Source organism: Homo sapiens, chromosome 5 (assembly GCF_000001405.40).
Source record: "Homo sapiens chromosome 5, GRCh38.p14 Primary Assembly".
NCBI classification, from domain to species: Eukaryota; Metazoa; Chordata; class Mammalia; order Primates; family Hominidae; genus Homo; species Homo sapiens.
Genome location: NC_000005.10, coordinates 94484500 through 94500257, shown reverse-complemented (window position 1 = coordinate 94500257; position 15758 = coordinate 94484500). Strand labels below are relative to the sequence as shown.

Below are 15758 nucleotides of genomic sequence, written 5' to 3'. Positions count from 1 at the left end.
CTGCCAAGTACACTTTACTCCCCTATTTAAAGCTCTTCAGTGGCTCCTCATCACTGTCATCATAAAGCTTCAGAGGCTAGGTTTTGGAAAGCAAGCCTTCCTTGACCTAGCACCTGCATTCTCTAGTCTCATCTCATGCCTCTCCCCACCTCATATTTTTCACTCTCCAGTAACACTGAACTGACAGAAAGCTCTGCTCATGATGTCGCGTGTGCCACCTCTTACTCTCTTCATTCCCTTCCTTGCCTAATTCCTTTTGATCCTTTATGACAGCTCATGTGTCATTTCTTCTAAGAAGCTTTCTCTGAGCTACAGCCCCTAATCCACGCTCCTACAGCATCTCCATATGCCTTTCTCAAAGCTTAGCATATTCTATCAACATATCTAATTAGGGATCTGTCTCCCCATATGGACTCTAAGCACCTTAAGGACAAGAATTATTTATTTTCTTCAGCACCTAATTCACTGCCTAATATATGACAGGAGTTCAATGAGTATCTTCTTAACTGAACCATTTTCTTAAAATAAATCACTATCTGGAAGTTTAATAATCTGTATTGGTACTAGCCAGCCAAACGACTTATTAATTGAAACTCAACTATTTAAAAAATATTATGCTAAGATTAATGGGGATTCCAGAAAGTGTAAGACCCTTGGTCCCCCCCCCCCCCCAGATTGGGAAATAAAATATGAATATATGAAAAATTGCTGAAGTTACACAGACAAGCAGTTGCAGAGTTCTGAGAAGAAAGCGATTCCAGGAAGTAGGGGTTCCTTCTAACTTATGCCCAGGATGATCAAGATGAAATGGAACCGTGTTGGTTGCAGGGTGGGCAGGAGCTGAAGAAGCAGAAAACAAGAATTGATGAACAAAACAGTATTCACTTTCTGCTGTTTTCCCACAATGCAGGGGGGAATGCTGGCTCAGAAATAGAATTTCAACATGAGGGATGTTCACAGCATGGAGAGTTTACTTGGAAGGCACAAAACAGAAAGAACCTGGGCCTTGTTTCTCAGGTCTTCTGGCTTCTTTCATCCTGTCACTCAACCCTGAGAGTTCCATATGATGTCTGATTCTGTAGCTCAGTCCCACTCTCCATCCCAGCTCCACCCTGGAGCAACTAATCATATTTCTTTTGAGGAAACTGCTTTGCCACGAGCAATTTTTTCTAAAGTTTGAAATCAGTTTAAAGCCTGATTTTATGTGGTGTCTTCAAGTGCCTTCAAATCTAGGAGGTAAAAGAAAAAGATGAACCCACAAAGCAATATGGGGAGAAAAACCTTATAAGACCGTTTTAAATTAATTACCAAGTGATTATTGTAAGACTTTAAACACATTAGGAATTCAGGGAAGGGAGATTTTAGTGTAAAGAAGGGCAAGCTAGAAAAACTTCATGAAGATTTGGACTCGAGTTTGGCTGTGAGTAGACCTTGCATAAGCAGAAGTAAAATGAAAGAGCTTCCCTTGCAGTCCAGACAGTACCAGCAGTAGAGATTACACTGACTTATTGGAGATAGTGGAGAAAACTGTGACTGGCGCATAGGAGCTATCCTATAAATAATTAATGAAGCCATTAGCCAGGACTCTGAACTTAGAAGTGACATCTTTGTTCTTCCATTTCTCATCTCTGCTTCTTATGCAGAAAAGGGAAGGGTGTTAATTAAAAGAAGAATGTTGTAGATTACACAATAGAAGAAAGAGCTAAATAATTAAACAACAATTAAACCTCTGGAAGAATGGGCACCAGAGGATTCTGGAGACCTGAGCAACAGGATCTTAGCCTTCAACTGTATTTTAATCATCAATTGTTTTGGTTTCTCCCTATGTGATGACTTCACTCTGACCAGTTTCTCCACTCAGTGGGTACATGGCTCCTGGCAGTTTTTTGCTCATATCCTAACAGCTTCCTGGTACCTCAGTTTAGAGAGTCTCAGGGAAGGCTTCTGATTGGCCCAGGGATAAGCTTGTTATTAGAAGAGCAAAAGAAGTGCTGGGCATACAAAAACTAAGTCAAATAAAAAGTGGACAACTGAATGAATGATATGATATGATACCTAGCCTAAGAACAGATTACAAGAGTCTTGAAAACCAGTCTTTGATGTTTAAATTACACCTGGTAGCTGTTAAAGTCTTTTGAGCAGAAAATAACTTGATAGAAGTGTTTAAGAAATAGAACTTGTCCAGTTATGTGTAAGATTACCTGAATGGGGAGAAGGATATAAAGAAACCACCTAGAAGAATATTTCCCCCACCCCACTGCCTGGAAATTCTAGTGTGAATTTTAATGCGAGTTTATGCTGAGGTGAAGCCATAAACATTGAGAACAGGATGGCTAGGTGGGAATACAAAGCATTAACAGGGAAGCAACAGAGCAATTGCTCAGAGTGTGGTTTCTAAATCCACAGCAGCATCACCCGGAATAAGCTAGAAATGTGAACTCTCAGGTTCCTCCGCTAACTCACTGAATCATAAACAGTGGGAGTGGGCCTGGCAATCTGTGTGTTAACAAGCTCACCAGGTGATTCTGATACATGCTAAAGTTTGATACCAACATAGTGTACTTTCAACTGATTAGGTGGGTGTCCAAAAGTAATTGTGGTTTTTGCCATTAAAAGTTGAAAGTATGGATTATAGAGCCATTCAAGTCCTGGCTCTGTGACTTGTTTTTTATATTTTTTGTTTGTTTGTTTTACTTTGGGGCTCTGTGACTTATGAGTTTTGTGACCTTGAGCAATTTATTTAACTTTTTTGTGTCTTAGAGGTAAATTGTAGTATTCGTGCTTTCCACCTATTTATGCTAATTCTCTAATATAATTCTCTAATATAAATTACATAATGCTATAGTAAGCATTATATAATTATTTTCTGTCATTAACATTGATAGAACTTGGTGTTTGAGGGCAATACGCAAATGAAAGATGATTCTGGCTGAAGTGTGCATTGGCTCTCATTGGTGACCAAAAATTGTCCATATTATTCCAAAATGAATCTCACAGATTGAAACTGTTCATATAAATCACCTCCTGACCCCCATACTTTGTTCTTCATTTGATGTCATTGCTAGTTTTCTCAGAGTGGATTTACTTTGTCACTCACTAGTGAGTAACTTACTTTTTCTGACCTTCAGTTTCCTCATTTTGGTTTTAATTAAGATTGGAAACAACATATATAAAGTTCTTACCATATAGTATGTGTTCAGTAAATGGTAACTGTTAATTAATGCCGTGGCAAATCCTATTAATCCCAATAGGGAAGGCGCCACGTTCAAGAGGCCGAAGAAGAGACTCAGAGCCAGCAAATGAGACATGGGATTTTATCAGGGGCTCACATATAGGGGAGAGAGTCCGGTGACAGTGGGCTGGACAGGAAAACCGCAGCGGCTTGCAAACACCATGCTATTTATGTAGCATTTTCATTTAATACCCTCCCTGCTAACAACCTCCACCTGGCAACCTCCATTTAACCCAAAATTCAGGGCCTCAATCCCCTGTACAGTCTGGCCCATGTTCCACGGGACAGGCTGGAGACTCAGATGTTCATCATAGATAAAGAATAAATCTTTGGCTTGGCCTTCAAACTCCAAATATGACTTTGCAGCCCCTTGGTGGCAGACATTCCACCTAGCTCAGAACACACATTTAGGTTCATCTGCCACACGGGTGCATTCGAAGGATATGGGTACATTATTGCTATCAGGTACATCTACCCTACCATTACTCTTATCTCCGTCATCCCACCCCCTGCTTTTTAACCAGTTTCTGCCTTTGTGTGTCAGTAATCTATAACTGTTCTCTGTTTTGCATTCTTTCTATTTGCTGAGGGCAGGGGTTGACAAACTTTTTCCTTAAAGGATAAATAGTAAATATTTTAGGCTTTGCAGCCCATAAGGTAGGTCCCTGTTTCAGCCACTTCACTTTGCCATTGTAGCGCAGAGTAGCCATAGATCAGTGGGGTGGTGTTTCAGTGATACTTTGTGGACACTGTAACTTGAATTTTATGTAATTTTCACATGTCATGAAGTATTCTCCTTTTGATTTTTTTCTCCATCCGTTTACAAAGAGAAAAGCCATGTTTAGCTTGCCAACTGCACCAAAATAGGCTCTGGGCCAGATTTGCCCCGTGAGCTGTCACGTGCCAACCTCTCTTTGAGGGGACTGCCTCTCCCCTAGCCTCTCACCACCTTTCCCTTTTTATCCCTTCCCACCTACTCTTGTCTTCCCTTCTTCATCACAACCCAGCCACCAATAACACTGGATCTAAAATGCAATCTAAGTGAATTTTTAAATATTTGTGTTTATTAAACAAAGCTTCATGTGTTATTACAATATAAAAATCAAATAAGTCTAAGATTTGTCTATATACTCAAATAAAAACTAAGTTGCTTATTTTCACATGTATTTTCTATTGTGTTTTTCAATTAAAGAATTCCCATGAAACAAACCATAAGTGAGCCCAGTATTAACCAGTTATATCAAAATAGGATGACAGTCAACTCCAGATATTTTCTGCAATTAGTTTCTTATCCAGACTTTTTTCAACACTGAGTTTTTCTTATGTATCGAGTGTAATGTCTTTCTTTTTGCCTGAACTAAAATAGTTAAAGAGAAGTAAATTTATTCTCATGAGCCTCGGATGGCCACAGGAGCTGATGGTGACTGGTGAGGTATGGCCCTCCTTAGTCACCCCACTCTGCTTTCAGATCTGACTCTGTACCTGTCTCCTGTCACTGCAGGTGATGCATGTCACATGGTGCCTTGTGCATGACAGGCACAAAGTAAATCTTTATTGAATTAAAAAGTGAAACCCACTTAAAGATGCTTTTTGTAGATCATAGGCCTTTGGAGGAAAAAGATAATGTCTGCCACCAAGGGGCTGCAAAGTCGTATTTGGAGTTTGAAGGCAATAGGATCTTACCTTTATGGCTGAATAACTATTGTTTAGGAGAGGAAGGCAGCTAAAAAGGTAAGATTAACTATAAAATTTACAAAGTGCCATCACACCTGAGACACGTCTTCTCTACCTCTCAGGCCTGCCCTACTCTTTTAGAATAATAAGCTCATGAGTACAGCTTTTCAGGTGGGCACTAGGGATTGCTATTTTCACCATGGCTATCTCTTTTCATATTCATTTTAACATACATTCATGGGCATTATAATTTTCCTACCTGATAAAAAAGTGTGAAGAGAATGTTTTCTTTATTTTTCATTATAGAGGAGGAAAAACGTGCCACTTCTTTTAAAAGGCTGTGATTCGGTTGGAAAGTGTATTAGGAAGCACACTCAGCAGATGTCTTAACTGAAATCCATCTTTTTGATGATGGCATTAATTTTATTTGAGTGCTAAATTTTTAAAAATAATTTTTAACATGTTATATTGAGAGCTGATAATGTAACTTCTCTGTCACGGCATATTCCTTTAAAAAATGAAATATAAATTCTCAGGTTCAATCTTAGGCTATAGTAAAAATGAATTGTTAACTGAGTTTTAAGTTTTTTCTACAGGTTAATTTTTGGTCATGATGCGAGAAAGTAACACATATGATAAGAGATATAATTAACTGAACTCTTGCAAAATTTGAGACCAAGAAAGGGATACTAGGAAGATATTTTCATTAATAATGTACCATTAGCATATAGTACTTAAAATTTAAAACCCATTTTATCACACTAGAGATGTCTTTTTATTAGGATGTTCCCTCAAAGTGTCAGCATATCTAAGCATATCTAAGTATTTACAACTGGGAGTTAAACCAGCATAAAACAAAAGTCAGCTGAAAAATATTCAGAAATTTGCCCTGAATACAGTTCTCAGTTTTGGCTGAATTCAAATGTAAGCCATTCTTTGATTAGCATCTTCAACTAACAGTGGCCTAAACTGGCCACATCAGTAGTTAGATATTCTCTCTCATGTTCTCAGTCAAAAAAAAAAAAAAAAAAAAAAAAGGATTGAATATAGGAGAGGGACAAGAGTATTATACCCTTGGGAAATGAGCAAGAAGTCAGATTTCTTGCTAATGTAATACTGACAGGTTTTGCCAGAGAAGAGGGAATGGAGTGTGGGAGAATTTTGTTATCATTGAGCAGTAAGTTTAGGTAACATCCAGTGGAGCCAGCATTGGCCTGGGAATCATAAAAGGGTAAGAATAGAAGCAGTGTCTTTTCAGTTTTTCTCATTGACCCAGAAGAATAGCTTCAGGGTGACTCTATCTTCACCCTTTTTAGCCACTTAGGTTTCTCTTGGTATGTGAAACAAGAGGATATTTACTGTCTGGACCCCTCCAAAGGAAATAGAAAACCTCCCTGTCACGTGGGGCCTTTCAGTGGGTTGGGAGGAAATATTTCAAACCCAGGGGTTCTCTCTGTCTATACATCTACCTCTCTTTAGATCATGATTACTACTCCTATCAATGGGTGCAAATTTTAGTGCAACAACTAGATCAGAGAAAGAAGGTATAAAAAATGCAGATATTGGCCAGGCGCGGTGACTCACCCCTGTAATCCCAGCACTTTGGGAGGCCGAGGCGGGCAGATCCCAAGGTCAGGAGATTGAGACCATCCTGGCTAACATGGTGAAACCCCGTCTCTACTAAAAATACAAAAAATTAGCCGGGCGTGGTGGCAGATGCCTGTAGTCCCAGACACTAGGGAGGCTGAGGCAGGAGAATGGCGTGAACCCGGCGGGGTGGAGCTTGCAGTGAGCTGAGATTGCGCCACTGCACTCCAGCCTGGGAGACAGAGGAAGACTCCGTCTCAACAACAACAACAAAAAATGCAGATATTGTATGTACTAGCAATTCAGCCTCTCTAATACATATTTTGGTTGTCATGTACCTCTATGGAAGCAGTTGCTACTTTGTGCTAATCAGTGTATTTGTCTAAATTCCTGAAAGGGTGACACCATTAGTTATTTTTCAGTATATCACATCACCTTACCCAAGGCCTATATTGTAATAGGCTAAGAGAATTATCTGTGTAAATGTGTTAAGATATTTAATTTTATGAAATGGGAAGAGTGATGAATTTCTGAGGTGGAAGCTGGAAAGCACTTATTCTTGCAAAGGGAAGTAGAAACTTCTAGAAACTACAGGTCTCTTGAATGAGAGGGAGATTTATAGGGTCTATTTCTGATAAAGTCAGACCAGATCAAGGCAGAGGGCCTCAGCCAGATGATCAGGAGAACTCTAAGGCCTGAGAACCTCTTGGAATTATATGCAAAACATCCTTCTATGAACATAGATGCATAGCTTATATTAGATTCTAAAAGATGATGATCACATGCACATACACAAACAAAACCAGTGTTTTGAAGAACTGACGCCGTAAAGATGCAATGGAAGGTCTTGGAGTGGGGCTGCCATTCAACTTCATGAATGTTAACCTTAGAGATGGAGTCAATTAAATAACAGTTAATATTTAAAGTAGTTTATAGTGAAATAGGTCTCTGATATGGTGTTTATCATTATTTCTCTCCAAAATATTTCCTGTTAAAATTGTCATACAGTAATTAATGTGAAACTCATTTAGTATTTTACTAAAAGAAGCATGTTTACAATGGAGGGGGAGAAAGCCAATTAAAATAAGTTAAAAGCAGTTGATTTTGTCTCTCACACTCACTAGTGATACCCCAAATGTACCATTTTGAAGCCATTCATTCATATAGGCACTGTGATGGATAATGGGAATGCAGTCATGGGGGAAAAAGATCTCTGCCTATAAGGAGTTTAAAGTTTAAGAGACAACTTTCAAACTAACCATTGTAATGTGACATGGTAAATGCTAAAATGAAGGGTTGTGCAAGGCAAAATAGGAAGGAGCATGGAGAACAAAACCCTGACCTGGCTTGGGGTCTGAGGGCAGGTTTCTCAGAGGAGATGAGACTAAAATCTAACATTTGTATAGCAAGTACTACCTCCCAAGAACAGTTCTGTGTTAACTCGTATACCATTGAGACATAAAGAGACTAAGTAATTTGTCCAAAGTCATACTGGTAGTAGGGACAGTGCCCAGATTTGAAGCCAAGCCATCTGGCTACAGCTTCTGTGTGTTAGCCCCTCCGCTATGCCACCTCTGTGCTTCAGGTAACAATGGTATAAATAAACATATGATACAATTGGTGGTGGGATGGCGACACCAGAAGTGGGGAAAGACAGAGAGAGGAGGAGGAGTCCAACTTTTAGCTTCTAAGAGTTAAATGTTTTCTAAATTCAAAATCAGATTCATTTACATTCATGAGGCTCAGTTTCCTTAATAGTTCCTTCTCCATTCTCTCACCATTCAGAAGAGGGTTCCTGACACTTATCTGTGGGTTATCTGAATTTTCACATATTCAGCTTGTGTTGGGTTACATTTTCACTTAACTTCATAGATATTCATTTCATTCTTTTAATCATTTATTTACTCATTTATTCACTCAATTTATTTCAAAGTTTTACCTTGTGTATATTGGGTGGTACATACGGAAGCCTCCTCAAAAGAGATGAGAAGTAAGAAATTCAGTTCTGCAAACTAAGGTGTAAATATTCCTTGTCGTACTTTTACCCCAAATTCTTTTCTAGTCATATAAATTCTCAAAATAAGTAAAAGTTATAACAATAATGCCTCAAGAAAAGGGGAAAAACAGTTTCAATTTCATCTTAGCGTTCATGACAAAAACAATGCTTGCAGGTCCTCCATGATTTTCTAGCTACTAGTGACACAGAAGGCCCTTTACAAACTCAGGATCATGGTGTTTGCGTTCTGTTCTTTCCCCTGCTGTGGCTCCATGGAACCGAGCATTTGAGGAGGCCCAGTGCTTCTTCAGACCACTGCTATCCATTTAGTGGGCTCTGGAGTCCCACTTCCTCTCAGGAAGTGACTTGGGTCCTGGGAGAAGTACTGCTTATTGTTTGTTCCTACATGGTCCCTGCTGACTTCATATTATAATATTCTTTAAAAGTTTTCTTTACTGGAGCGAAGATCTTCCATTTGTATTATGTCATAAATTTCACCTGGAATAATAAGACTTTCAGTAGCTTTTGTGTGTCACCTCTTTTTACGTCGCTTGTCTGGTGGCACTGAGAATACCTCTTCACTGAAAATGGATCCATTTACAGTCAATAATAGGGTGGCTAATGTTCGTTTTTCTTGGGAAAACTGAAATGCGCACCTTTTATCCTATTATACTGATCCTCCAGCTCCAGATTATCTGATTGTGTAGCTTCTCATTTTCTCTTGTATCTTACCACTATTATTAATAAGAATTCTGTTGCTAATAGCTTTGGAAAATAATATGTGTGCTTGCAGCCACTACCTGTATTTTTATGGTTTGTCTGATTTAGCTGGACTTTGATATTTATTTCAAATGCTGCTTTGTTGCAGATCAAATGTGAGGAGACCTAATGTCCCTCTAGATTTATTTTCAATGTCCTAAATTTTGCTAGAAGAGAATGGGGTTAATACTTGAACTACGTATAACTAACATTTAACACCTTTAAGTGTATAATCTGTAGTCTATATTCTTTACGTGTGATATGCCTATAGATATGTGTATGTGTATATATCTAGACACATATCTATAATACCTATATATATATTTACAAATATATATAGACAGAGAAGAAGACTTTTTTAAAAATGTAGGGTAACAGTTTTGTAAATATCTGTGCGCACCTTTTATGGTGAAATTTCTTTTTCCTAAAGTATATTTTATTTTTTTAACACACAAAAGTCATATTTTAGAAAAAATATTATCAATATACTCTATCAAGTTCCCAGCCCATCATTCTTTTTATAGCCTTTTGCACATGCTTTCTATTTTGGAAGTAATCTTCAAATTTATTTTGTCAAACAGAATACTATAAGGAATGTTTATAGAATATTGTAAATATTTATTTATGAACTTAAAAACATCTGTAATTATTTATTGTTTTAAAGAATACATTTTAGGTTTTGGTATAAAATCTTACTTTGTTCTGGCCTGAACCTAACTATTTCTAGGATCGATGGGATTTCATTCACTTTGTTTTTTTAATCAGTGTTTTGAGTACCTACTTTGTATGAGATTATGCTGAGTTCTGCGATACTATGGCAAATAAGCTGGATATAGTCTTTGGCCTCATGGAAATCATTTTACACTTGTGTTGACTGTGTCTAAGGAACTTCAACTATTCTTTAGGTTTTTTTCCTAACAGCAGTTCCTCTTTTGCCCAGGGCAAATATGTAGGCTATATTCTTAGAAATGTCCTACAGATGTTCCATACTTCTTCTAAAAGTAAAAAAGTCATAAATTTCTTGACATGGAAAAAGTGGATAAAAACAATGCCTGCAGGTCCTCCATGATTTTCTAGCTACTAGTTAGACTTCCTTTTCTTTCTTTTTTTTTTTTTTTTTTTGAGACAGAGTCTCTCTCTGTGTCACTCAGGCTGGAGTGCAATGGCATGATCTCGGCTCACTGCAACCTCTGCCTCCCGGTTTCAAGTGATTCTCATGCCTCAGCCTCCTAAGTAGCTGAGACTACAGGTGCACACCACCACGCCTGGCTAATTTTTGTATTATTAGTAGAGACAGGGTTTCGCCATGTTGGCCAGGCTGATCTCGAACTCCTGACCTCAGGTGATCCACCCACCTCAGCCTCCCAAAGTGCTGGGATTACAGGTGTGAGCCACCATGTCTAGCCAAAAAAGTGGAGTTTGTTTTTTTTTTTTTTTTTAAGTCACTGGTGTTTTATGCAATAGCAACTTTTTGGTTGACTTCTGAGACCCAAATCTAGTTTTTTTGATGCTTAGAGAGTGATTTTTAACCCACAAGGGTTTTTATCTAAAGCTCATGAACCCCTCAGACAGGAGTCTCAAACTCTAGCACACAAAAGACTCACTTGGGACACTTGCTGAAAAGTAATATTTCTGGGCTTCGTCCCGTAGAGACGCTGATTCATTAATTCTGGAGAAGATCCAGAAATTTGCATTTTTAATGCTACAGAAGATCCTGAACCATACTGCCCTGTGAGAGCCAAAGATGGACTTCGGGTGGTTCTGTTTAGCCTTCACACTGTGACTACGTGAACTGAATTCAATGAGAAGGTCTAGGAGGCTTTAGAAGACTTTCCTTAGTTTCTTAAAGGGGTCTGCAAAAATACTATGATAATGTTAGAAGCAGTGGTTTACAAGTGGAAGAGGGTACTGGTAAAGTCATCCATACAACCAACAACAAGAACCTGCAGCAAAAGGTCTAACAATGAAAGGAAAATCTGTAAGGCAGATATAAATACTCAAGTTGTAGAGGAATCCAGAGCAGTGTCCCCCACACAGCTGTTTTTGAGAATATCTCAGAAGTGAGTAGATCTGTGTTGATAAACTGGTGTTCATTGCTCGAAAACGTTTGAGAAACACTAAGTTTAGAAAGTTATTACTTTATTATGGCAGGAAATAGAGACTTTAATATACTAATTAGCCTTGTGAATTACTTTAAGAAGAATTCAGTATGTAGTATTTCCCAAGCTTATTTGGTCGTAGAACCCTTTTCGTATAATCTAAAATGAAAGCAATTTGAGAAATGCCCTTTAACAGAGGGACAAACATTAGTCCCTGAGTGTGGCATAGAAATAAATAACTTTCATTATAACTCTATCATGAAGAAAAATTTACATTGTTTTAAATACACTAAATAATAAAGCAGAATATTTTATATTGCATATTAGAAAAATTCTTATTAAAATTATATATAAAGAAAAAACCCTCAACTATCTCCTCATTATTTACGTGGGCTTACTCATCTAGTTGATGGTAAATTAAATACTTTCTCTAAAATGAAAATTTAATTTTATCTTTATAATATTTTGGTGATTTAGGAGAACTGTGTATTTCCTAAGAATCATAGAGCTCATCATAGCCAAATAATAGTTATTATGTCAGATATTTTACAGCAATGGTTAGCAGAAGGCCAGACAGAGTTGCCTGTGTGTAAACATGTATGTCCAAAACTTTGAAGCACAACAGTCCCATAGTGATTTAAATAAATAAATAAAGGCCAGGTTGTCTTAGTGGGGGAAGAAGAACTCCTGGATTGATTGTATCCAAAAAGTTTTCAGAAGGGCGCTGTGGCTCACGCCTGTAATCGCAGCACTCTGGGAGGCCGAGGAGGGCCAGCCTGGGCAACATGGAGAAATACCGTCTCTACTAAAAACACAAAAATTAGCCGGGTTTGGTGGCGGATGCCTGTAATCCCAGCTACTCAGGAGGCTGAGGCAGGAGAATCGTTTTAACCCAGGAGGTAGAAGTTGCAGTGAGCCGAGATGGAGCCATTTTTTTGTTTTGTTTTGTTTTGTTTTTGAGACAGGGTCCCACTCTGTGGCCCAGGTTGGAGTGCAGTGGCACAATCTTGGCTCACTGCAGCTCCACTTTCCGGGCTCAGGTGATCCTCCCACCTCAGCCTCCTGAGTAGCTGGAACTACAGGCTCACGCCACTACGCCCAGCTAATTTGTTTGTTTGTTTGTTTGTTTTGGTATTTTTTTTGTAGAGATGGGGTTTGCCATGTTGCCCAGACTGGCAGATAATGTTTTCTGGAGAGGTAACTTAGAGGGGAGGAGAAAACAAATAATACTGAAAAATGCGGAAAGGAGATTAATTTAGCCAAGGAGATGGTCAAAGGAATTTCTGCTGGGAGAAACTCTTTCCTAATTTTGTTAACAATAAGAGTTTAAGGGACAGAGAAACATACGCTTAGGCAGATAGAAATCATGAGTGAAGGTGTGATGATTAGGACACTAGTCCTATGAGATACTGTGAGGTAAAATAAGTCAAATAAGTTTGGGAAATGCTACTTCATCCTTTGTGCTTAATTTCGCTTTAATTGGCCTTTCACAAAATGAATTTATCACAGAATTATTTTCCCCATAAATTGAGAACCTGTACAATACCCCTTGGGAGAACACTGAGCTGATAGTAATAGGAAATAAGGACTGCTAATTAATGGGCAGCTCCCATAATCATTGGTTGGTTGGGACAAAAAAATGATTAGATTTAGGTCATATATTTCATTCTGTCCTCTTACATTATTTAGTTATAAAGATTCACTGAATTAAAAGAAGATTTACCTTTCACGATTGTTGTATTCCTGGAATACAAGATTCTTCTAAATCCAGGTCATGAAAGTAAGACCTTTTCATCTAGAATCCTCAGACCTCGCATAATTGTCAGCAAGTAGCAAGCACTCTTATATAATTTTGACTCTTAAAGATTCTTCATGCGGTGTTTCTTTGCTTACTTTATAAACATTCACAAGACTTCCAATTTGGAATTGAGCCAGATAAAGACTTCTTAAACATGCTTAATTTCTAGTGAAACTATTGAGCGGCCTTTCCTAGTAAAGAATTAGGAGGGATTCTTAAAGCCTTTGAAAATTTGGTTTATAAACATTTTAGGTCCAAAAGGAAATTTAAGGTTTAGAAGGTTAAAATAGCCACTCATCTACATAAGCAAAGCTTAAGATAAGTCAAATAGACCAAATGGGAATCAAGTACCAACTAAATAAAACATAATATGTGTGTTCTCTTTTCATTTTGGGGCATAATATTTCTGGCAAAGCCTTAGTTGTATATGCTGCCTATACATACTTGTGTTCTCTAACATGCCCATAGAAGAACAGTAGATGTGAGTTAGATTTTCATGTATATTGGGCTAACGTCAACTTAGAGATGAAACAGAGTTTTTGTATTTACTTGCAGATTTTTTAAAACCTTTTTACTGTTTCAGAACAGTACTAAATTTTACAGTCTAAGTTGGTAGACAGCTCTTTCTCATAGTACCTGCAAAGAGATCATGACATTTTTGGTCCTCAGTGAAAGACTATTATAGGACTACAAGTTTGATGCTAACATTTTAAAGTTTCACTGAAGTGAAGTGGAATAGCCATAAAATTGTTAGATTTCTGGAATCTTCCTTCTACCATCCATGTGATGAAGGTAATCTTTTGTCCCATGGAATTGTCAGACCCTATACAGTTTTTGAATAGCACTTGTATTTTGTCTCCAAAGGCATTTTGTGCTAAGTTTGTAGGAGTTTACAAATTTTCCAATTTATGATTAAGCTTCAAGCTATCTCTTAAATATGTTTTAATAAAAGGCATTAATAAAGATAGGATTCTTTTAAATCCTTTAAAACTTGGTCAAAAAGACCATTTAGTGATGTAATCTAAAATGAAAGCAACAAATTGGAGTTAAGAACATGAAATAAGTGAATTATTCTCCATACTCTTAAAGAGTATAAAGGGATTTTATTATCATATTAAAATGATAGTGTGACTTTACTAGTAGCGTAATCATAAGAGGGCAAAAAAACAACCTTTAAGTTGTATTGTTCTTACGCAAATAATAGATATCACAATTATTTAGACAAGTTATTTTTAAACATGACTTCATGAATTATGTAGCCTAGATTCAATAGCTACCTTAATTTGCTTTTTTTAATGATAGGAACAACACTTATAAGGTCTTAAAGAGTGTATCTTTAATATAGTGTTTTGTAAAATGTTTATTTTAATTTCAGACTTACAAAAAGGTTGCCAGGATAATACAAATAATTCCTTTACATTCAAATTTCCCAAATGTTAATATCTGACCACATTTCCACTTTTGCTTTCTCTCTCTCTCTCTTTCTTTGCAAAATTTTATTTTTTCTTGAACTGAAAATAGTCCGCAGACACTCTTATGTATTTCAGTGTGTATTTCCTAAAGACAAAGACATTCTCTTGCTTAACCACAATACAGCTATATAAATCGGGAAATTAAGTCATACAGTAATAGCATTGCATAGTAGACTTCAGTCAGATTTCACCAAATTATCCCAAGTATGTCTTTTATATGAAAATCAAATGCTGATTATGTATTAATTTCAGTTTTACTTAATGTCTATTTAGACTCCTTTAGACTAGGTCATTTCCTGGCCTTTGTACTTCCTCACAAAGTACAGACTAGTTATTTTGTAGACTGTCCCTCAATTTGGGTTTGTGTAATATTTCCTTGTCATTAGATTTAAGTTATGCCAGACCGAAAAAAAAAAGCAGAATTGCGTAAGATGTGATTTTACAAGAAATCAAATTTCTATTTATAACTCTGAGAATCGATCTAATTATTTAATTGCTATATTTGCCTGAAACAGAATATTCATCTCCAGCTTCCCAGAAGAAAAGATACTCCTAGGAGATTTTATATGTATTTCTTAATGAACTAATTTGGTTTAATTATGGAGGAACTTGTTAGTTTTTATATGGTTTATGGAATCACACAGATCATTCTAATATTTACTAAGAAGGTAAATAAAATGTATGACAGTATTGATCTTTTCTTTTCACAGTTACTACTGAATGCCCACAGAAAGGAAGAAACTTCTCTCTCCCTTTAGACAAAGTCGAATTCTTATCGCAGCTCATAAAATCCTTTATGAAACTGGAAAAAGGTGTTCAAGAATTGTTTGACGAAATACTTTTATCACTCAAGATAACCAGGGATACTTCAGGTAATATCCTCTTTTGTTTAAATTTGTAAATCTATAATTTCTCTGTGTTTTTGCTTCCTGCTGCTTTGAATGAAAACGATTACTTGAAAAAAACACACATGAAAGAATTCTTTAAATAAGCATTTGGTATAATGCACACCATGCATTATATATAAAAATGCACACATTTTTATCCTTCATGCTTGGCAAGTTCCTTAATTCTAATTGACAAAGCATCATACATCAATTCTGGATGATTTTTAGCTAAAATTAGGTCAATTTTTCTTTTC

At 37.0% G+C, this 15758-nt stretch overlaps 1 protein-coding gene across 17 annotated transcripts in view; it reads left to right on the top strand.

Moving 5' to 3' along the window:
* Window positions 1-15758, top strand: part of KIAA0825 — a 467754-nt gene that overhangs the window by 118347 nt on the left and 333649 nt on the right. For all 17 annotated transcript variants that reach the window (XR_948246.3, NR_169751.1, NM_001145678.3 and 14 more), the window contains one exon: window positions 15328-15489. Coding sequence is in view for 15 of the 17 variants with exons in the window: in NM_001145678.3 (NP_001139150.1) it covers window positions 15328-15489 (162 nt within the window). In the remaining 2 variants the exon portion in view is untranslated. The remainder of the gene's footprint in view (window positions 1-15327; window positions 15490-15758) is intronic.